This window comes from Homo sapiens, chromosome 17 (assembly GCF_000001405.40).
Source record: "Homo sapiens chromosome 17, GRCh38.p14 Primary Assembly".
Lineage (NCBI taxonomy): Eukaryota > Metazoa > Chordata > Mammalia > Primates > Hominidae > Homo > Homo sapiens.
Window position 1 is genome coordinate 34,813,598 of NC_000017.11, and position 23,419 is coordinate 34,837,016.

The window sequence follows — 23,419 nt, forward strand, 5'->3', positions numbered from 1 at the left end:
CTCTGGAGTGGGGGAAAATAAACAGCCAGAGAAAAGAGGCTGAGGCAGATGTGTGCTGTGTGAACTGGCAGGTATGTGCATGTTTGTTGATGCCTGTATTTGTGCTTGTGTGTGTGTGCCCTTATATATGAAAACATGCTCTGTAGCATGTAGGTAAACATGTGCATGTACACACGTGTCTGAAGGTTTGTACACATGAATGTCTCTTTGTACATGTGTGAGTAGGAGTGTGCGTGGGTGTACACACATTGCTTTAAACCCTGGGCAAGTAAAACTCCTTGATTTTTATAGAATCCTAGCAGCTCTGACTTAGAAGCCACCTTCATAAATATCTTCAAACCCAGTGTCTCCCCACCTGCAGCTAGAATCTCTTCTACAACATTTTCCCCAGGAGAGCACACAACATCTGCCCACACTCCTACACTGATGGGGCATTCACTACCATGGAAGACACCCTGTGGAGCTCTGATTGTTAGAAGCACTTCCTTCCTGCAACATTCACCCAGAGCCCTAGATCCAACTCCAGGATCACACAGAAGAAGCCCAATCTCTCCCCATGGCATCCCCTGAAGATGATGACTGTTCCCTTCTTCATAGTCTCTTCTCTGGGTTAGAACTCCCCCAATTGTCTTCTAGGACTTCACATGACATGTGACATTGGCACACAGCACCTAACACCCAATCACATGCCAAGCATGAAGAGTCCAGCTGGGATGGCACTCATGCCAGTGGGTGCTTAAGGATCATCTGCTCAGGCCATAGTCAACTCAAACTTCACATGCATCAGAACATCCGGTGTGATTTTTGAAAATGTAGATTCCAGCCAGGCGCGGTAGCTCACGCCTGTAATCCCAGCACTTTGGGAGGCCGAGGCGGGCGGATCACAAGGTCAAGAGATAGAGATTATCCTGGCTAACATGGTGAAACCTCATCTCTACTAAAAATACAAAAAAATTAGCCAGGTGTGGTGACAGGCACCTGTAGTCCCAGCTACTCAGGAGGCTGAGGCAGGAGAATGGCATGAACCCAGGAGGCGGAAGTTGCAGTGAGCCGAGATCACACCACTGCACTCCAGTCTGGGCGACAGAGCAAGACTCCGTCTCAAAAAAAAAAGTAGATACCCAGGCGCTTCTCCAGGAGCTCTGATTCCAAAGGTCTGTAAAGGGCACTGGTCCTCGACATTTTAAACAAGCAGCCAGATGGTTCTGATGCAGGAGCCTATGAACCATTATTTGCCATGGTCCCATGGTCTCATTTTACAGATAAGGAGACTGAGGCCCACAGAGAGGAAGAGATGTTCAGAGTAAGTTAGAACCTAAGCCAGAGCTGCATCCTGTCTTCTACTCCCTGGTGCTTGTTCCTAACACCAACCCCAGGATGGATAAACAGAGACTTCATCCCTGCAAGCCCACATTCCCCTGGGGGAGCCCATCCCCACCACCACCACAGAGACAGGCCCAGATCTAAAAGAGAAGCATCCTTCCGCAAACCCTACATTTCCATCTGGTCCCACAATTATCTCTGGCCAGGGTGTCAGGAAGAAAGAGACAGGGATCCGCAGCCCTGTGTCTGCTAAATAAAGTGTCCTGCACCCTGGAGGAGCTGAGATTCATGGAGGTCACTGCTACGTTGGAGGGAAATTCCCATCAGTATATCAGAAGCAGATTGGGGTCAGGACCCCAATGAGGATGCCAAGGTGTGGGGAAGGAGCCAGGTGAGAGAAGGCCAGTCTGGAGTTTCCAGTGCAAGAAGCCTAGACCTGCAGGGTCCGGTGTCAGCCAAGGCCTCATCCCCGCTGAATCCGTTACCTCCCAGAGGGCCTGGCCACATGCATTGGCCACACTGACCTGCTGCCATCCACCCAGGGGCCCTGATGACCTCTAGTCATAAATGGGGACTGAAGAGGAGAGGTGAGGCCTCAGATCACATAGCTTTTCAGTCCAGGCTCCCAGCTCCCAGTCTGTGTCCTTTACAGTGCACCACCCTCATGCCTTGTGCAAGAAGCCAGCACCAATGGGAATTGTCACAGGAGGCTAGACGATGAAGACAGACAAATAACAAGCCTAATGTCAGACCAGATCTGCTCCCAACAAAGTCAGGATAAAATCAAAGTCCCAGAGACCAGGACAGGAAAAACTGTGTTTCACCACCAGTGACCTTCCTCATTACCTGCAATCATTGTCTCCCTGTCCTGGTCCCCAAGGCTCCTCTCACTTTCTAGGATTAAGCGAGAGTAGGCAGGCATCTGCAAAATTCAGAGCCCTGTGGGTACTGAACACAGGAGAATAGAACAGAAGAAAAGGGAATTTTGCTTCTTTTGAGCTTGCTTCCTGATTTCATTCGACCTGAGGTCTGATTTCTCTTAAGCCAATGCATTCCATTTCCAAGGCTGTTTTGAAGGTGAGATTCCCCAGAGGGAAAGTGAGGCATCCCTGACTGCTTCTGGAGTCACTCGCTGTCATGATCACTCACCACCAACACCATTTTCTCCCCAGCCTTGGCCCCCCAGCCCTCTGCTTAAAATGTGTCTAGCGCTAGAGAGCTGGGAGCAGTGGGGCTCTGATGAAACAGTGAGCGAAGAGTGAAACGAGGGAGGGGACAGCAGGCTCCAGCCCCCTCCCCACCCCACTGCAACAGCAGGGGTAGAGGGCCGGGCTGGGTAGGTCTGTCTATCTCTCCAGCTGCTGGGAAGGGTGCAAGTGACGAGGGCAACGAGGGATCCCTGCCCCACCTATGGGAACCGGTTGGTGGCTTGGCGGGAGTGGGTCCAGGTGGGAAATGGGTGCTGGTGTTTCTGACCAAGTTCCACCCTCACTGAGTTCTTGGGAACAAACGGCTCATTTCTCAGGGTCTCACGTCCCTAGTTTTCTCCCCGGCCCTCTCTCTGGTGAATGTAGGGGAGGAAGATGAGAAGTGGACAAGAGACATCAAGGAATTGTAACTATCTTAAGGTCAGAAGGACAGGGTGCAGGCGCTGCCTGCAGCTCACTACGCACATGGCCCTGGACGGGTCCACTTGTCCTTGGAGCCAGTATTCCCTGTAGGTGTAGTGGTGGCTTATTGCTGACCCTTGCATGGCCTGATGCCTCACATTCTATTCCCCATCCACTGGCATCTTTCATTCCTTCCCTGCTTCCTGTCTTTGCCCCATGATGAACGTTGAAGTAAAATCCTGAGTGCTAGAAAAGGCATGTGCTCGGGACACTGACTTCTCCAGTGATCAGGGGAGGCCCCTGAGAAAGCAACTTGGTATCTGAAACCTGAAAGGTGAGTGGGCTTGCTCCAGAAAGAGGATTGCAGAGGAGTGTTCCAGGCGGAAGAAATAGCTTATTCAAAGCCTTGAGGCAGGAAATGGCTTGACTCATTTTCTCAAGCACTAAAGAGAGCCCCCAGGGTGGGGACTCTGCAGATGGGGCCAAAGGGTCAGGCCTCTGCCTGCTGGTGCAGGTCCTTGAATGTGGTAGTAAGGGTTTTGAATTTTATCCTGAGAGTGGCTGGAAGTGACTGAAGGGTTTCAAACAGGGAGAAACTGGAGAAGATTTGCATCTTTAATAGCCCACTCTAGCTGCAGCCTGAAGAACGCAGACACAGCAGACCTGTTAGGAGGCCGTGAGAGGGCTGGCTCGGTGGCTCGTGCCTATAATCCCAGCACTTTGGAAAGCCAAGGTGGGAGGATTGCTTGAAGCCAGGAGTTTCAGACCAGCCTGAACAACATGGCAAGACCCTGTCTCTACAAAAAAAAAAATTAAAACAATTTGCTGGGCATGGTGGTGCGTGCCTGTAGTCTCAGTAACCCAGGAGGCTGAGGTGAGATTCTCTCACCTTGAGACCAGCGGGGTGGAGGCTGCCATGAGCCATGTTCACGCCATTGCCCTCCAGCCTGGACAAGAGAGCAAGACCCTGTCTCAGAAAACAAAAGAAAAACAAAAACACAGAAAAGGAAGCCATGAGAACAGTCCTGGAGAGAGACAATGCCAGCTCAGACCCTGGTGGTGGTGGTGGAGGGAACAAAGAGGAATGGAGGGAACCAAGATGCTATATCCTTAGGAGGAACCAACAGGCCCTGGAATTTCCTAGATGCGGGAATAAGGAGAGGGTACCTGGGGAGACATCAGGCCCAGAAGCGCACATGGGGGTTGCACAAGCAGGCAGCGTCTGTTTGGACACCAAAGCTCCCACTTTCTGCATAAGCTCAGTCAAGCTCCTTAATTAACTACTGTGAGTCTCGGGGGCCTTGTCTATAAAAAGGGGAAAATGCCTTCTAAGCTGGTGTGATGATTTAAATTAAATTGTATTGGTATGAACAGTGCTCAGCACCTAATATGTATTTAACAAAATTGCTTTCCTTGCCCTCCCTCCTATGTCTAGCTCAGAAGCTTGCCTTGCAAGTTCAGCCCTTTCTTCCCTCTGGGGCGTACAGTGTGGCAGTGAAGGTCACCCATCCCCATGACCCCCTTACCTCCTACTAAATACAACTCTATGCCAGAGCAGGTACTGAGCTTTTTCATCTTGCCACCTCATGGAACCTCACTAATGTTGAAAAATGCATCTCCCTGCTCCGGTTCTTGCCCCCTTCACACTAGGCTCCACCCAGCCATCAGAGCCATGGTGTTAAGATGTAAGGTCATGGCACTGCTCTGCTCCAAACCCCCACAGCGGTCTCACTCAGGGTAAAAGCCAGAGTCAGAGCAATGGTCCACAGGGCCTTGCCTGCTGTGCTTCTTGTCTCTCTGTCCCTGTCACCTCCCACTCTCCCCTGCATCCTTTCTCCCCTAGCCACACCAGCCTCTCTGCTGTCCCTCACTCCTGCAGGCCTGCTCCTGCCTCAGGGACTTTGCACATGTACAGATACTCATATGGCTTCCTCCCCGCCTTCAGTTCTTTACTCAGACGTCATCTGCTAGGTAAGGCCTTCCCCAGCTGTCATCTTCAAATTGCACTGCAGATACCCCAACCCCTTTCTGTACTTTACTTCTTTCTCAACAACACTCATCCTCATTAATAATGCTGTATATCTTATTTATTTAGTTTTTTGTCTCTGCCCTCTAAAATGAAAAGTCCTTGAGAGCAGAGATTTTTATCCATTTGGTTCACTGTCATATTCCTCAATACTTAGTGCGGTTGCCTGACACATATTGAACATTTGAAAAATGAATAAGAGGGAGAGAGAAAGGGAGGGACGGAGAGAGGAAGTGTCTTCTTCTTAAAGTCCCTAGTTGCTATCAGAAGCACTGGGCATCTCATTTCATATAAGAGCAGGTGTCAGCCGGGCACAGTAGCTCACACCTGTAATCCCAGCGTTTTGGGAGGCCAAGACAGGAAGATTACTTGAGCCCAGGATTTCAAGACCAGCCTGGGAAACATGGTAAAACCCTATTTCTACAAAAAATACAAAAATTAGCCAGGTGTGGTGGCAGGCACCTGTAGTCCCAGCTACTGGGGGGCTGAGGTGGGAGAATCACTTGAGCCCAGGAGGTGGAAGTTGCAGTGAGCCAAGATTGCACCACTGCACTCCAGCCTGGGCAGCAGAGCAAGACTCTTGCAAAAAAAAAAAAGAGTAGGTATCCATTTGTGGTCAGGGTTTTAGGTGAACAAGAAGCACACAGTTAATTCTGAGCATTCAATGCTCAAAACTAACTGCAGTGAGCATTCTGACTCACAGAGTGGAGGAGGCAAGTTTCCAACCAGGGGCAAGATTTATACCGGGCTGGCATAAATCACAAATTTGCTGTACTTCCCGAGTGACCTCCACCGCCACCCCAGCATGAGAAGATATACTAGACACAGAATCCAGAGCATCTTAGCATGTCCCTGGCTCCTGGGGCCACTCAATGAAGGTGCTCAGTGCCATTAAGATGCACAGAGCAACGTCAACCTTGCTAGTGAGGCCAGTCCGGGTGCAAACACCATCCTGCCTTTGGCTGGCTCAGCGGGCTCTGGATTTTACTGTATCTCACTGACCTTCCACTTTCCTGCCTTTAAAATGTAGGTGATAATAGTCACTGTGCATTCTACCCCACAGTGTTTTGGCAAAGCTCAAGTGTGTATGAAAACATAAACTTCTACACAATTATTTTTCTAGTCCCCTTTAATCTCTAAATTTTGCTAAAGGAAAACACATCTTCTCTGGATCCCTTTGCTTGCTTTCTTGCTTTGTGTCTTTGCGTTTCTCTCTGTCTACTTTTTTTTTTTTTTTTTTTAGATGGAGTCTGGCTCTGTTACCCAGGCTGGAGTGCAGTGGTGCAATCTCGGCTCACTGCAACCTCTGCCTTCTGGGCTCAAGTGATTCTCCTGCCTCAGCCTCCCAAGTAGCTAGGATTACAGGCATCCACCACCACACCCAGCTAATTTTTGCATTTTAGTAGAGACGGGGTTTCACCATGTTGGCCAGGCTGGTCTCGAACTCCTGACCTCAGGTGATCCGCCCACCTCAGCCTCCCAAAGTGCTGGGATTACAGGTGTGATCCACTGCGCCTGGCTGCATCTCTTTTTAAGTCAATTGTTATGTCTGTCTAACTGAGCCTCCCTTTGTGTCTGTGTGTGTGTCCACAATTCTCCCTCCTCTGTCTCTGAGTGTCTCTGTTCCTGCTTTCCTCTCTCTCTGCCTCACTCTGTATATCTCTGTGTGTCCCTTTCTGCCTCGGATTTGCTGTTTGTCTTCTTTGTCTTCTCCCTCTTCTCAGTTTCTCTTTTGACTTCATCTCTCTGCCTCACTGTCTGTCTCTGTGTGATTATGTTTCTTCTGTCTGAGTCCTACCATCTCTCTCCCTCTCTGTCTCTGTCTCTCACTTTCTCTTTCTGTCTCTATCTGAATCTATGTGTGTATCTCTGTGTGCACTCTCTCTCTCTCGCCCTCTCGCTCTCTCACTCTCTCGCTCTCTCCCTACCTCACTCGCCTAATTGCTTCTTGTCTCTGCAGATCGCTGTGAGGATTTATGTAACACACAGACAGGGGTGGCAGTAGCCAATTTGAAAGGCTGCTGGCGGACATAAGAACTTAATGCTACACCAGTCTTCAGGAAAATGAGCTGCGATCCCCCCAAAGCCTCCTATGCTCAGCGCAGCCCAGACCATCTTCCTCCTGCTCCTGAAAAAGAGAGAGGCAACTCTTTAGACAGACCCCTCTTGTGCCCCTGCTGTGTTCAGAGAGCTTTGCATCACAGCATTTGAAAGGTCTGACCCTCCTAGGGAGTCAGATTCACAACAAAGCTCCACTTCTGACAGAGATAAAACTGGGCCTGTAGTCAAGATACCTGGGATCTCACCCCCACTTGATTGGAGGCCTCGGGTAGATCAGGACCCCATTCTGGGCCTCTGTTTCCCCATCTAGAAAATGGCTCCAGCACTCTAGGATTCTAAGAAACCTGGGACATCCTGCTGTAGGGGAATGAAGGGACCCTATATCACACCTGGCAAAACCGGTCAGTGCTTCAACAGACAGAGGCATTGGGGCTGATAGAATAACACAGACACAGAGAGAAGGTGCTGAGAGAATGACTCAGCAGCCAGAGGGGTGGAGAGTGGACTCCATGAGCAGAGACAACAAGGAAAGCCCTCTCCCTTCCCTGTGTCTGGGGCCTGCTTCCTGTTCCTACGCACATGGCATGTGCCAGTGCCACCCAGCTAACCAGGTTTGGTGTGGGTCATGAGTGCCTCTGGTCGTTTCTCAGACAGCAGCAGCCAGAGACAAAGTAGGAAGGGTGGGGAGTGCACGGGCACCTGAAGGAAGGCAGTGGGGAGAAATAAACATTGATTGAGCATCTGCTCTGTGGCTTGCTCTGAGCAAAGTGCCAGAACTGAGCCCTGCTCAGAGCAGTTAAATAACCTGGCTGAGATTGAAGCCCACGCCTGCTAGGCCCCCAAAAACTGTGCTTTTTCTGCAGCCATGAGGACTTTTAAAGAGAGAGAGAAACCTCCAAAAAGGAGAGAAGAGGCACCTTGCAAGCACACTTTGCCTACTGTACATGTCCCCAGCCATCATCCTCCATGAAGAAAGGCTGGGTAGGTGGAATTGCTTGGTCTGCAAAAGAGAATCTGGGAAGTATTTTCAGGGAAGCACTCAATTTCTGTTTGCAGGTGCTTGAAGGGTTTACATCAGGGAGGCAAAAAAAAAAGTGTCACCTAGTTCCACAAAATAGAGGCAATGGACTCAGACCAGCAAGAGAAACTTGGAGCAGTTTCAAGGAAGGATTACCTGCGTGTCAAAGAACTGGTACAGGCTTGAGTTCACCCTTGAAAGTTACCTAAGTAAAAGAGATCTTTTACTCTTGGTACTTTTTCAAAAGATCAAAATCCTCTGGAAAGGTGCTAACTTGTGTGGACACAGAGGATTGAGCCAAATGACATGTTGGAGGCTCCTACAATCTTGGGCATCTACTCTCAGTGTGTAGGCACCACACATATTCGCAGGCACACACACACTCAAAAGCTTGAACATCCATGTTTTTCCTGGATGAGGCTCTGCAGCCCACCTGCAGCTCGGCTTGCCAGTCCCCACCCTCAAATCCCTCTGCATGGACTGCCAGGGAGGGGCCCTCTGTAGGCTGATGGGCAGGGTGTCCCCACAGACAGGCAGGAAGCCAGAGCAGACATCACTATCTCCTCATCGCTCCAGGCAGCCACCTCCAAGCCCTCCTGCCTTTCAGGAAGCCAAATCAGGAAATTAACTGGGAGCCAAGACGCCTCCAGACACCTGCCTGGAAATTCAAACCAGGAGCAGGTGGGGGCTGGCTTGGGAGGAGGACAGAGTGGATAAGGGGGCTCCTTGTAGTGGGGCAGTGGGCCCATACAGGGAGTATGTGCCAACCCTTTTTAAGGGAGCCGGTGTCACAGATAACCAACATGAGCTGCCTGGGATGGGACCGTGAAGGACACAACCAGCTTATTCTGGGGAGTATACTCCACCCAATAGCAGGAGGACCCTGCGCCGGGAAGCCCTGGCAGCAACTTGGTGATTGGTTCTGCTGCTGCTCTACGTGAAATCCCCCAGGGGATGCAGACAGAGGGGACAGAATCAGGAGCTGAAAAGAGGCTGCACTATACCTCTATACCAAGGCAAGCACAGGCTTTAGAGCCAGACAAAAGTGGTTCAAACCCACCTTTTGTCACTTACAAGTCCCGTAACTTTATATCTCAGTTACCGTCAATTAAATGGACATAATCATAGCAACCTGCATTTGTCAAGGTAGGCCAACTGTTCCAACAAAAAATCCTAAAAATCTCAGTAGTTTAACATTATAACACCATATTTCTTCTTCTTACAGTCTAATATGGAGTTGGCAGCAGGGCTAACTCCACCTCTAGACCCAGGTTTCTCAGTCTCAGTACTGTTGACATCTGCTGGATAATTATTGTGGGGGCTGTCCTGTGCATGGTAGGATGCTTAGTGGCATCCCTGGCCTCTACCCACTAGACACCAGTAGCACTCCCCCAAGTTGTGACAACCGAAAATGTCTCTAGATGTTGCCAAATGTTGCCCCATAGGCAAAATCGCCCCCGGCTGAGAATCATTGCTCTAGATCCTTTGAGGGATCCTCTGCAGCTAGTCAGCAGAGGAAGGAGGAAAGGGTGCACAAGCCTCACACAGGAGGTCTCTGAGGGGCCAGCCTGCATGCCACAGCGTGCATTGCATCTGCCCATTTTTCACTGGCCAGATCTAGGTCACATGGCCCGAGCTGCAGGGAGGCTGGCAAGTGTAGTCCACTGTGTGTCTGGAAGAAAAAGGAACCTGGGTCTGGAGAGCACATAGTCACGTCTCTGCCCCACCACCTCTCAGGGTTGTCAGGATGATTTGACCAGCTGAGGAGTCTTGGTAAATAAAATGCATGCATGCCATAGCTCTCAGCACATCTAATGACTGATATTCTTTGAATGTTTGTCATGGCTCCATACTCTGATAGCACTTGGGATGCATTATCTCGCTGGATCTCCATTTGTTGGTGAGGAAATTAAGGTGCGGGGGTGGGAAGGATCACAGAGTTGGGTGCAGGGTCACAGAGCTGCCGGCTCCAGGATGCTGGCTCCAGCACCTGCATCTTGACCTCTGTGCTATACTCTGCTGATTGTTGCTCTCCTGGCCCAAATCCCACGTTTATGCTGTCACATGCAGCATGGTCACTCCGCAAATCATAGACTTACAAAACATTTATCTGCATAGAGGAGGAAACTCTGAGGGCCAGGAAGAAGTGATTGCCCAGGGTCGCTCCACTAGAAAGTGTCAGAGCCAGAACTAGAACCCAGATCTAGTGGTTGAAGACAAAGTACTCTCTCTGAGAAAGAGGCCACTTCTGTCCTCCAGCCAGGAGGTAGGGATACTGGCAGAAATCTCTGTTCTGTGCTCTCCCATCCCTGTGTAACTGGGTCTTCAGACACAAGTGAGAGATGGCTCCAGAAGGCAGGGAGCTAATTTTCCCAGACGACCACACTGGGGAGGAGTATGAAATACAAGTGGATAGCCCTGTCCCCCTTGGGTGCTTGGGGAGGGGACGGGAGCCTTGGAAGGGAATCAGGTGGCTCAGCTTGGAGCTCTGGCTTCGCCACTCATTTACTGGGTGGCCCTGAGCAATTCTTTTCCTCTCTGAGCTCCAGATTTCTCTTCTGGCATGGCATCTCAGGTGTAACAAGCACTTCTCAATCATATTCCTGTCTGTGGTCCCATTTAACCCCCTACCCCACAGGCTGTGTGGAAGGTGGGAATGTGGCCTCCATTCTGTACAGCACCCTGACCACACAGCCAGGAAGAGGCAGAGTTAGGGCTCAAACCCCGTCTTGTCTAGTACCAGACTCAGGGCTTCCCTTCAGGGGTCCCCCATTCCAGCGTTCTAGAATTCTGCCATTCTGTGGCCCAAGTCACCCCCAGCCAAGATCACCAACACTTGGCCCTCACCCCATGGAAAGTCTTTGAGGAAAGAGGCCCCCTCTGTTCCTGGGAAAGGTTTCACAAACTTGGGGCACTGGAGGCAAAAGACATTGACCTTGCTGTCATGAGGGAGTCCTCCTCTACTCTTTCTCCTTCACCTCCATGACCCATCGGACCCCAAGCTGCGTGGCCCAGTTTGGAAGGAGACAAAGGTGTGGTTAAAGGCATCCTCTAGCGAGGTGGCAGGCTGAAGGCCTGGCCCAGAGGAGGGTGAGAGGTGGCCACACACCCCTGCCTCTGCTCAGCAATGAGAACGATGTCATCCAACCTAGCGCTCCTGTCACAGGCCTCAACCTCCCTGGACCACTCCCACCTCCCATGATCCCCTGCTCAATGAACATCATGGCTTAGATGGCTCTGCATCCTCTCCCTCCCTCAGTCCCCACTGCCACACCCTTAGGTCAGTCCCTTGTTCTGTTAGGGCCTCCCCACTAGCCCCTAGACTTCACTTTACTCCCTCCAACACTTCCTCCACAATGCTGCCACAATGATCTGACAAACCTGGCCATGTCACTCTCCTGCTTGAAACCCTCCATGGCTCCCTGATCCTCTCAGAACAAAACCCAGACTTCTCGGTCAGGCCCACAAGACCCTGTTACCTCACCAACCCTCCAACTTCACTTCAGCCATGCTCTTCCTTGCCCTCAGTGCTGCAAGAACACCAGACTACTCATGGTTTCCCCCAAGCATGTCATTGTTTCAAGCCTCCTGTGACTTTGCCCAAGCTGTTTCCCCTACCTAAACTGTGTTCCTTAAAAGGTTCATAGCAAACTCCTATTCATCCTTCAAAACCCTGCTCAGATAGCACCTTTTCTCTGAAACCTTTCCTTACCACTTCCTTCCTCCAACAGCACTAAGTATAATACTTAACATTTATTTATACTTTACTAATTATAGTAAAACTTAACATTTAAGTATTACTTACTATAATACATTTGTTAACAACTATAATAATACTATACGCCAGGCATTGTCCTGGACCCTGCATATGTCTCCTTAATTAAATTATCCAAATCTATGAGGCAGAGTGACAGTTTTAAAACCATCCCTTCCGCGTAAACCTGGGCAGGCTTGTGACAGCCTAGACCAATAGGAGTGCAGTGGAAGGGATGCAATGTAGCATCTAAGGCTGGGCTATAAAAAGTCACATGGCTTCCACCATGGTCTCTCGAAATGCTCACCCTCCAGACATTTCCTCCCAGGATGTGCCTCCCAGAACCAGTGCACCACACTGGGAAAAGCCCAAGCCACACAGAGAGGCCACTCGTGGGTGCTCTCGTTGGCAGTCCCAGCTGAGTCCAGCCTTGGAGTCACATGTGAGTGAGAAGTCTCCAGATGATTCCAGCCACTCACATCCCCCTTAAATATTTGAGTCCTCCAGCTGAGGCCCCCCACATCGTGGAGCAGGGACAAACCACCTGCTGCCCTTCCTAAATTCCTGACCACAGGATCTGTCCAGGCATAGTAAAGTGGTCGTTTCTTTACATCTCTGAGTGTGAGGTATTTGTTACCCACCGATAATAGTCACAAAGAGCTTACAGTTCATCCCATTTCACAGATGCGAAAACTGAGGCAAGGAGAGGTTCAATAACGTGCACACTGTCCTAAAGCTAGGGGGAGGCTGAGCCAAGATTTAAACATAGGCAATCAAGTTCCAGAGCCAGCCCTCTCCTGTGCTTCTCTCATGATGAATATCACATGGTGGGTTGCCTGTGTAAGTATTCATCTCCACCATCAGACCCAGCTTCTTGAGGGCAGAGACTGCGGTCTCTCTCTATTCCCAGCACTAGCTCAGTTCCTGGCATGGAGCTGAGGCTGAGGCCAGGTTTGCTGAACTGACCTGAGCATCAAAGGGAAGCCTCTGCAGTGGGGTTGGGTGAGTGGGGTCAGGGCCACCAGAGCGGAGTTGAGCCTGTTTATGTCATGATCTCCCGACAGAGCTCCTCCAATGCTGCCCTGCTGACCCCCAGGCCCTTGCCCCACCCAAGCCTCTGACTCATCATCTGTGTAAATTGATGATTTTCTGCCCAGCCAGCTCCTTGTGCCCCGGGGGCCCAGCTGACAGCTTCATGAAAAACAGTTGCAGTCAGTACCTCTCAGTCCAGCAGAGCCTGTAGGCATGTGTCATAGCTGACCCCAAGCCCCCTGGCCACGACCCAACCCCTGCCACCCACAACACAGAGCACAGCCCAGCTTAGAGTCAAGCATTTGAATCTCCACTGGTTTTGACCATGGGTGCCCCCCTTCCTGGGTCTGGGGATCAAAGGGCAACCTCTTAAGTCTGATGCCCCCAAGTGGATGAATCCACCCTCAATGGATTCACTGCAGAGAAGAGTGAGATTAGGACCAGGAGTCAGTGGAGACAGGTGTATGCAGACCCTGGATCTCTGCTAGGGAAGTCACCCACCCCCTGACCTCTTCTGGGTCTGCCTTCCAGCTCCAAGAGGAAAATCTCCAAATGATTCTTCTGGAGTTGAACTTTCAGGGGCTGTGCAGGTCTCCCGGGGGCTGCTTTATAGAGAAAGAGACTTATCCTTCAGCCCCACTGTCCCCTGAACCCTGAAAACCCCCTAAACTCTCCCCTCGGTGACCTCACACAGGTCACTCAACTCTCCCAAGCCTCACCCTTCTCATAGGTTGGTGTAAGGCTGGACCTTTGTAAACACCATCAGCTGAGAGGTAAGACAGGCATGCAGCCAAGGCCAGCTCAGCTGAGGCAAAGAGGAAATAAGAAGGATAATAAAACAGCTGACATTTGTTGACATTTCTCTATATCCTAGACACTCTTCTAGGTTCTTTACCGGCATGAATTTATGTATTCATCCCAACAACCCTAATCAGTAAACACATTCATTTCCATTTTACAGATGAGGCAACTGAGCCACAGAAAGTCAAGTCACTTGGCCAAGTTCTCTCAGCTAGCAAGTGAAAGAGGCAGGAGCCAAATTCAGGCAGACCAGATCCGCAGTCCTGTCCACTTAACACTCACACCAACGTGAAGTACCCAGCACAGCATGTGGCATGCACTCTAGCAGGCCAAGGACCCTCAGCCCCTTCCCAGAGACGGGGAGAGTGGCTAGGACACATGGACCCCAGGGGCCATAGAGGGCCTCGCCCCCCTTCCTCCAGACCCTCCGTACCTGGGGGTGGGTAGCTGAGACCCACCCTGGCCCTGGCATTGGTGCAGGTGAAGAGGCCATCTCAGCATATCATCCTTTTGTCCTTTCACTTGTATGGGAAAGGGATCCAAGAGTTATTTACTGCAGAGATTTCATCGAGATGTTCTCACCCTTACTGTACATCCTTTAAAGGTGAAATAAAAATATCTAAAGGGGAAAAAAAGCATTTTATTCAGCATCGTAAAAGCCATTGGCAGACGTTCCCCTGGAAGGGGGAAAAACAGCATAAAATTCTGCAGTGACATTGTTCTGGATGAATCTTCATAGCCAGCCTGAGCAGGTGGAGGGGTGATGGGAGCTGGGGCTGTTAATAGGGGCTCCTCATGGCTTCAGGTGCCACTGGGTGGGTTCCTTGCTGCATCCCCAGAGCCTGCCACTGGGTCAGCACAGAGTGGGAGCTTAATAAATACTTGTTACATTCAAGAGTGAATAAAAGAATGGGCTCTAGAGTGAACCCCTTCCCAGTGGAAGGGGAGGGAGGCAGTGGGCCAGAGCATCGTGGCACTCGGGGCTGGACCACTGTCCCTGAGACCCACTCGTGGCACATCACTGATAGGTCACACTCTCTCTCACATTCATGTCTTTGCACTTGTGTTCCTCTGCCTGAAGGTGTTTTAACCCAGGCTGCTTGCCTCCACTTCCCTGTCCAATATCGACTCCACATCCAGCACTCCCAACCAGGACCACTAAAGGGCCTCCTCCTCCTCCAGCTCACACCCATCCTCCCCTCCCCTGTGCTCCTCCAGGCTCTCTGTGCAGCGTAGGGTACATGCCTGTCTCTGTCTCCAAGAGAAAGTGTGCTCCTCAGGATGGAGACCCTGCTCAGTAAGTGTTTCTCAGATGAATGAATGAATGATACTTGCATAAGCCTTGACGCTTTACAAAGCGTTTTCCCACAGACGGCTCTAGGAACTCTCAAAGCACCCACACGACGTGGTAGCCAGCTTTGACATCATAAGCCTCATTTTACAGGTAAGAAAGCAGCGATTCAGATAAGGCAAGAGCATTGCCTAAAAGTGTATGGGTAGTGTGGTCTGAATGTTCGTGTTCCCCCCAAAATTCATGTTGGAATTCTAACCCCCAAGGTGATGGCATTAGATGGTAAGGTCTTAGGCAGGGTGTGATGGCTCACGCCTGTAATCCCAGCACTTTAGGAGGCTGAGGTGGGCAGATCACAAGGTCAGGAGTTCAAGACCAGCCTGGCCAGCATGGTGAAACCCTGTCTCTGCTAAAAATAAAAAATAAGTTAGCCGGGCATGGTGGCACACATCTGTAATCCCAGCTACTCGGGAAGCTGAGGCAGGAGAATTGCCTGCAACCAGGAGGTGGAGATTGCAGTGAGCCGAGACTGCGCCACTGCACTCCAGCCTTGGCGACAAAGCAAGACTCCGTCTCAAAACAAAATAAAATAAAGAAGGTAAGGCCTTTTAGGAGGTGATCAGGTCATAGGGCCATAGCCCTCATGAATGGGATTAGTGTCCTTATAAAATAGGCCCTAGAGAGCTTGTCTGCCCCCTCCACTATGTGAGGACACAGAAAGCGCCATCTATGAACTGAGAAATGGGCCCTCAGCAGACATCAAATCTGCCCGTGCCTTGATCTTGGACTTCTCAGCCTCCAGGACTATAAGAAATAAACTTAAATTGTTTGTAAGTCTATGTATTTTCTTACAGCAGCTCGAGTGGCCTAAGAAAACAGGCATCCTTGAATCTAGGTCTAATTTAAATCCTTAGCTTTTCTTACTATGCCAAGTTGAAATTCACAAGCTGTAATTTTTGCTCCCTACCTCCCCACACACAAATACATTCACATGCATATGCAGATACATGTGCTCCGGATACACACATACATATATATGCACCCACATGGATGCATGTACATATCACATGCAGGTATGCATGCACACGTACCTGCATGCACATGAGCAGAAATGATAGGCATGAAGAGAAAAATAGGAGTTGAGAAGAGAGGGAAGGAGTTCCAAAGGCCTCCCTCAATGCCTACCATCCACTATCAGGCTTTGCCTTTGATTTTCTGCTTTTAATTTTCACATCATCAGTTACTACATCAAAGCAATTTTACTGCAGGTGCCCTGGACCCAGACTGTTTCTAGAAGCCCTGATTCCAAATTCCCCTTCCCACTGGGCCCTCGTCATCAATGGCATTTCACTTCTCATTAAATTCCATGTGGGGAGCATGGGGAAGCAGAGGAGACAGTAGTGAAATCACCTCTCACTTCTAACTCTTGTTCACTTGTGTTCAAATGCCGCTTAAGGATTTATGTTCCAATTTCTAGTTAAACACGGCAGATAAAACCTCCTACCCTGCCTGGACTACTGGGGTCTTGTGGAGACGCATGAGAGAATGGATGTGAATGGACTGTGTAAACTCAAAAGTGCTGTGCGCACATGAGGAAGGCATTCTCTAACTCTCTGCCTCCCAATCCCTCACTAAGTAACTGAAAGGGATTTCATTAAGAAGTAAAAGACAGAGAGAACAGAAAATGAGGCAACCCACAACAAAATGTTCAAGGCTGGGAAGCAGATGGATGAATAATAACTGATTTGGGAGCCCCAAGAAGGCTGAAACCTAAGTTAGCAGTGGGGGAAGCCCACGAACTAGCTAGTTCCTAGGGCAGGAGCCCAGAAAGTCTCACGTACTGGTGACTTCAGCTGCTTCTGAAAGAGGGGCTACAAATTCAGGCTGAAAACAGAAGCATTGCTGGGCACAATGGTGCACACCTGTAGTCCCAGCTACTCAGGAGGCTGATGGGGGTGGATCGTTTGAGCCCAGGAGTTTGAGGCCAGCTTAGGCAACATAGTGAGACCTCCATCTCTAAAAAAATTAAAAATAAAAACAGAAGCATTGATTGAAATTCTACATAAGAAGCAGTTAGATCCTCTAGAAACCACCCCACTCCCCCAGCACAAGAGAGAAGAGAAGTGAATCTGTAGGACTTTAAAATCCAGAACACAAATAAGATCTGGCTGAGGGTAAGATGCTGAATATCCTCCAGTTTCTACCATCCAATCTGGAGCTGGGGGGATTCCTCTCTGATGAAACAGTACAGCCTAGGGACAGATGGAGAGGGGCTGTCCCCTAATGACATCCTCCAGCCTGATCACCTTCCACCCCTATCCACCACACACCAGGCACATGCACAATGAGCTTCCAGGCAGCTGGAGCATCCAGCAGGAAAGATGGAGACCAAAAACAACCAAAACAAAACAAATGGGGCAAAGGGGGCTCAGAAGAAACAAAAGCAATGCAGGAAGCCGCGGAACATTTCAAAACCTTAAAGTTACCCTTGGAGAAATAAGAGAAGATACTGCATCTATGAAAAAAAGACAGGAAAAAAGGATGGATCCTATTTTTTTAAAATCAGGAGACAATGAAAAAGAACTTATAGAATTAAAAAGAGAAAATACTCCAATGGAAGGTTAATGAATAATGTTGAGGAGATCTCCTACAAATTACAACAAAAAGAATGAAAAAAAAACAGGAGAAAATTGATTAGAAATTCAGAAAATCTGTCCAGGTGATCCAACATCTAACAGAAGATCCAGAAAGAGAATGGAATCAGAGATAAGGCAATTATCACCGAAGTAACTTGAGAAAATGTCTTAGTACTGGAGGATGTGAGTTTCCAGATTAGTGGGCCTCCTGACACAAAGCCACTTAATTAGGAAATTTCAGAACACTGAGGATGAAGAAAAGACATTAAAGAAACCAGAAAGGAAAGAAAAAAATCTGGCTCAATACCAAGGATCAGGAAGCTGAATGGCATTAAACTTCTCATAAGCAGTCTCAGAAATGTTATCTCCCATGCTCCACCAGAATAAAAGCAAAAGCCAAGAAAAAAATGAAGGTGTGGGATCCAGGAAACATGGTGTCCAAACAGGAGAGAAGCTAAGGGGTTTCGCAGGGGGTGCTGAAGAAACCCCAGGATTGCAGCTACGCAGGTCAGTGCACGAGAGAGTGGAAGGATGGAGGGCTCCATGAGGGATGTTTTCAAGAAAAAAAAAAAAATGAAAGACCACATGATGCAGTTAAAAACAGGGGGAGTGGATGTGCACATCTGATACAGCGTTTGCAGCCTCCAGGCTCAGAAGAAGAGCTCTGACATGTCTTCTAAGAGACATAAGATGCAAAATTTCCTCACCTACCACCCCCTAACCAAAAGCAGTTTGTAGCTTATTGTAAATCTCAGCTGGTTGCTATGGAAATGATTATACGTATACACAGAACAAATACCTTAGGTGCTCGCTTCTTTCCAAAACTGGGCAGGGGAAGTTACTGAAGTAGTGCTTACTTGGGTAAGACGTGGGAGACATTAAATTAAGGTTTAGAGAAGATGTTTACTTATTTTTTCAGGATCCTCCACATCAGAGTAAGGTTACCTGGTAGAGCTGGGAGAAGGCTGTGCAAGAAGTTTAGGTGCAAAGCTTCACTTCTGGTGAAAAGAGAGAGGCCTGGAATTTAGAATGTTAAAAGAATTTCAACCATGAAATTGCAAAAAGTCCTAGACTCTGAGAGCAGGTGGGAAATGAGAAATTATGGAGTACAAGCCTTTCACTATACAGAAAGAGCTGACCAAGGTCACACAACAGGTTAGCAAGACGAGAACCTCTGCCAAGTGCTTCCAGAAACTTCTCTGTGGAGGTTTATCTCTGAGGTCTTGGGATAATCAGGAGAGTCTGATAGGAGAAAGGATTTGTTAACCCTTCCCCTAACCTGAGGTCTTGACTCCCCTGCTCTCTTAATTCTCCAACCTCCCAAGCCCACCCCCAACCACCCGGTCCCAGCCTGCAAGGTAATTATAATGAAGTTAAACCAAATTACACACGCAGGGTTTATTTTGTGTTTTTTTCTGCTGCTGCTGTTGCCAATTATGGTGCAATTAGACTGCCTTCATTAGCAAATGAGATTAGAATTAACATTGTTAATTACTCGTTCTGTTAAAAGGGGAAGCGGGGGTGGTGGGGAGGGCACTGGGTGGGTGGTGGGGGGAGACAGTCCACATGGCAGGGGGAGGTTTGGAGCCCCCAAGGGCTCCTAGGCCCATGGAAACTGAGGGAGGAAACTGATTTATAAAATGTCAAGGGACAGGTGGGTGAGATGAGATGGAATCTGCCAGGTCAGGAGCAGAGGGCTTTCCTCCTTATTATTATTATTCTTACTATTCTTACTATTATTTGTTGAGGACTTGGTCTGTGCAGCACTTTACATGCATTATTCACTTAAACCTTGCAACATTATCAGAAGTAGGTATTAGCATCCCCACTTGACAGAAGAGAAAAGTGACACTCAGGAAAGTTAAGTGACTTTCCCAAAGTCACACAGTGATAGCAAGTGGCAAAATCTAACATTTCATTCTTGAGCACCAGGACCTTTGGTTCTCATGGGAAAGGGCAGCCCACATATACATTGTATTTTATAGGGTGATAGTTTTATTTTTTTATTCTTTTATTTTTATTTTATTTTTGTTTTTTTGAGACAGAGTCTTGCTCTGTCACCCAGGCTAGAGTGCAGTGGCTCGATCTCGGCTCACTGCAAGCTCTGCCTCCCGGGTTCATGCCATTCTCCTGCCTCAGCCTCCCGAGTAGCTGGGACTGCAGGTGCCCGCCACCATGCCCGGCTAATTTTTTTGTATTTTTAGTAGAGACAGGGTTTCACTGTGTTAGCCAGGATGGTCTTGATCTCCTGACCTCGTGATCCACCCGCCTCAGCCTCCCAAAGTGCTGGGATTACAGGCGTGAGCCACTGCGCCCAGCCAGGTGATAGTTTTAAATCAGCTCATTTGATACTCAAATTTGCCCCATGAGGAAAACAAATTATTAGCCTCATTTTTCAGGTGAGGAAGCTGAGAGTTTAATCAGGGTTGGCAAACCATGACCTACAGCCTGAATCCAGTCTGCCCTCTATTTTTGTAAATAAAATTTTGTTAGAACACAGCTATGCCACTTATTTATGTGTTATAAATAAATATTTATGTTATTTGTGTGTTATATCTTGCTCTCAAACTAAAACGACAGAATTAAGTAGTTGCATTAGTGGCCGTATGGCTCATCAAACCTATCTGGCCCTTTGCGGAAGAAGTTTGTCAATCCCTGGTTTAAATCATTGATACAAAGTCATACAGTGCATGCAAAGAGGCCCTGACACTTGAACCTAGTCCTTTTGGCCCCAAAACCGGACTCTTCTTGCCTAGAAGGAAAGGGAACAGTTCCAGCTAAGCTCAGTTTCCAGTAAGCTCAAAAATGTCTTTATTACCCCCAAGGAAAGAATCACGGCAGACAGACGAATCTGAATTATTTTATCCTGACTTTGAAATTTGATCAGGTTGACTGTTTCCACAAGCAAACAACAGAAAGCCCAATTATGAATGGTTTTTAAAATAAGGCATTTATTATTTCACATAACAGGTCCAGCAGTAAGGCAATTCTGAATGTGGTTAATTCAGCTAGGTCCTCTTTATTCTCCTTTCCTTGGCATCTTATCTGCCCACCTCCCCACCGGCCCCGTAATCCTAATGCGGCTGCCACAACTCCAGACATCACATTCCCACCCAGCAACATCCAAAGGTGGCAGGGTGGGGCAACTACTTCTGGCAAGTCAGTTTTTTAGATCTCAGAAAGCTTTTCCTAGCAGGCACCACTTCCCCACAGCAAGCAAAATAGAATTATTACATTTGTTTTAGATAAATCAGGATTCATTCCTGGGGTAGAAAGAGTCCCAGACTCCCCTGAAAAATATGGCTGCTAGTATCTGAGTTCTGATACCAAGAAAGAATTGGGGGGTGGGTTGTTGGGAAGGCAATGGACAGAAATTTTAGGGTTGTTCCAGTTGTTCACATGTAGAGTCTGAGGTCTAGGGAGCAGAAATAACCCACATTCCCTTTTTTTTTTTTTTTTTTTGAGATGGAGTGTCACTCAGTCACCCAGGCTGGAGTGTAGTGGCGTAATCTCAGCTCACTGCAACCTCCACCTCCTGGGTTCAAGCGATTCTCCTGCCTCAGCCTCCCAAGTAGCTGGGACTACAGGTGCATGTCACCACGCCCAGCTAATTTTTGTATTTTTGGTAGAGACAGGTTTTCACCATGTTGGCCAGTCTGGTCTTGAACTCCTGGTCTCCAGTGATCTGCCCGCCTTGGCCTAACAAAGTGCTGGGATTACAGGCATGAGCCACCGCACCTGGCCCCCATTCCCCTTTTTTCAATGCCCTGTGCTTCTTCTGACTGTAGGGGCAGGGGAGAGGGAAGGGAAGATTCAAAGGGAAGGGTTAATCTCCCCAGCACCATGGCCTCTAATCTACCCATAATATAGGCACAAATTTCTCCCAAAGACCATTTGGCCTTTGGTCCTCTTTCCCGTAACTCACCTCCCAGACCAGAAAGGCAAAGGTTTCCTGGGCATTTTCCTTTGCAGCTTTGCCTCCTTAGTGCTTGTTATTTCACCCCAGTGTTCAGTGAACTCACAGCCATAAGCTGTGCACCAAGGCCCCAGGTGGTGGGCTAGACTGCCCAGGCTCCCCTTTCTGAGAGGTTCTGAGATCCCCTGCCCACCTGTGCCAAAGGCCAGCACCAAAGTGGCAGTGGCAATGGCCTGAACCCAGCCAGATGGGGCACGTTCCACGATATGAGGTCCCTCTCCCCTCCATCCTTGCCCAAACTAGCTGTTCATATCCTTTGCTTCCAGATTCCCACCAGACTCTCTCTCTCAATCTCTTTCTCTCTCTTTTCCTCTCTCTCTCTCTCTCTTTCTCTCACATATGCACACATGCACACTCACACTCTCACACTCACTTCATTTTAGACACTGGGTACCTGGGTTCATGCACCTTTACCAGGACTTCCTTCCTGCCACCTGGGCAGGATTTGTGAGGCAGAGAGGTCACTCAGGCATTTAAAGAAGATTCAAGGAGAAGGGTGTCAGGCAAGGTGGGTCCCATCTGGGTGCCACCTGTCATGCAAGGCTCAGGGGCAAATCCCACATGGCCGCATGGCCTGCCTTAATGAAGAAGAGTTATGGGAGGTGGGCTGTACATGGGGTCAGCAAGGGAAGGCCTGGGTCTCTTTCCTCTCATCCCCATGACAGTGTGCTGTGGCCTGGCCATGTGTTGATAGCCAGCATAGGTTTGCATTTCAGACAAGGTTGCTGACAAGCTCAGTCTTGAAGAGATCTCCATGGTGCAAGAGAGAGGAGGCATGTGCCTCCTACCTTGGGTCAGTTGGGCAAGTTATTCTTCAGTGGGAGCCCTGCGTTAACTACACACACCACACACAGGTGCGTGCTCACGTACACACACACACACACACACACAGTTCCTGCTGGCCCTTTGACTTGACTGGCTCCCCGGATGGCAGGGAACATTAACATTTCTGCCTCCAGCAAGTCCTCTAGTCTGGAGGTTTGGCCCAGAGGATCCTCATTTACTTTCCCTGTGCTGTCCCATCTCCATTGCTGCTGGGTTTTCTCAGAATGCCTCTGGGTGGTTTTGAAAGTATTAAGCTTCTCCAGCTGCTTCTCAGGGGGGTAGGGAGCTCTTCTCTTCCTTCCTCCTTGTTCTGTCTGAGTTGTTAGGACTCAAAAAAAAAAAAAGCCTTCAGATGATTAATGAGGCTCCTAAGATCCAAGCCCTCTCTTCTCCTGCCAACCCTAGCCATGGGTCACTTGTTCACTCTCCCAACAAAGACTACTCCTGTGAGATCCCAGGGAATTTACCCCAAATCTGGGTACCTTGCGGATGGTGACCCCAAAGGGAAAATCCGACTCACCCCTAAGGGGAAATGGCCAGCCCCATGGATTGAATGTAAACATGACAGATCCCAAAGAAAAGAAAAAGAAGAGGTTTAAATGACCTCATGCAAAGGCATAAGAATGACACAAAGGACTTCGGGGACTTGGGGGGAAGAGTGGGAGGGGACAAAGGATAAAAGACAACAAATATGGTGCAGTGTACACTGCTCAGGTGATGGGTGTGCCAGGTTCTCACAAATCTCCACTAAAGAACTTACTCATGTAACCAAATACCACCTGTACCCCAATAACTTATGGAAAAATAAAATTAAAAAAAAAAAGAAAAAATAAATGACCTCTCCCAGGTGCCTCCTTAGTGCCGTGGACAGCTTGCAGTCTCGTAAATGAGCTCCCTCTCTTCCTAGTTCATATCTGGAGAGGCCAGTTCCCCTGGTGAAAGGGTTTATATCCTTAAGTCTCCAGGGTTGGGGTTGGACTATGATGCAGGAATAGGATTGTTGGAAAGTAATTCTAGGTCCCCTTCTTCCCACAGGGTGGCTGCACTTAAGCTTAGCTTCCTAAAG

The 23,419-nt window shown here is 48.9% G+C and overlaps 1 long non-coding RNA gene across 7 annotated transcripts in view, besides 4 other annotated features; it reads right to left on the minus strand.

Moving 5' to 3' along the window:
• The window catches only part of LOC105371742 (uncharacterized), a 163,994-nt gene that overhangs the window by 54,194 nt on the left and 86,381 nt on the right, over positions 1 to 23,419 (minus strand). For all 7 annotated transcript variants that reach the window (XR_001752848.3, XR_934691.4, XR_001752844.3 and 4 more), the window contains exon 3: positions 14,059 to 14,244. This is a non-coding gene — a long non-coding RNA (uncharacterized LOC105371742). The remainder of the gene's footprint in view (positions 1 to 14,058; positions 14,245 to 23,419) is intronic.
• Positions 5,334 to 5,538: a silencer, noted in NCBI's record as "fragment chr17:33145950-33146154 (GRCh37/hg19 assembly coordinates)". NCBI's record gives its function as "represses an EF-1alpha promoter that drives an FKBP-Casp9 reporter gene in an ReSE screen in phorbol 12-myristate 13-acetate-treated (for megakaryocytic differentiation) K562 erythroleukemia cells {active_cell/tissue: K562(+PMA)}" and the evidence as "EXISTENCE:reporter gene assay evidence [ECO:0000049][PMID:32094911]".
• Positions 6,815 to 7,424: an enhancer, noted in NCBI's record as "NANOG-H3K27ac hESC enhancer chr17:33147431-33148040 (GRCh37/hg19 assembly coordinates)". NCBI's record gives its function as "activates a minimal SCP1, AML or CMV promoter by ChIP-STARR-seq in naive H9 embryonic stem cells {active_cell/tissue: H9 hESC(naive)}" and the evidence as "EXISTENCE:reporter gene assay evidence [ECO:0000049][PMID:30033119]".
• Positions 12,416 to 12,950: an enhancer, noted in NCBI's record as "H3K4me1 hESC enhancer chr17:33153032-33153566 (GRCh37/hg19 assembly coordinates)". NCBI's record gives its function as "activates a minimal SCP1, AML or CMV promoter by ChIP-STARR-seq in naive H9 embryonic stem cells {active_cell/tissue: H9 hESC(naive)}" and the evidence as "EXISTENCE:reporter gene assay evidence [ECO:0000049][PMID:30033119]".
• Positions 12,951 to 13,485: an enhancer, noted in NCBI's record as "H3K4me1 hESC enhancer chr17:33153567-33154101 (GRCh37/hg19 assembly coordinates)". NCBI's record gives its function as "activates a minimal SCP1, AML or CMV promoter by ChIP-STARR-seq in naive H9 embryonic stem cells {active_cell/tissue: H9 hESC(naive)}" and the evidence as "EXISTENCE:reporter gene assay evidence [ECO:0000049][PMID:30033119]".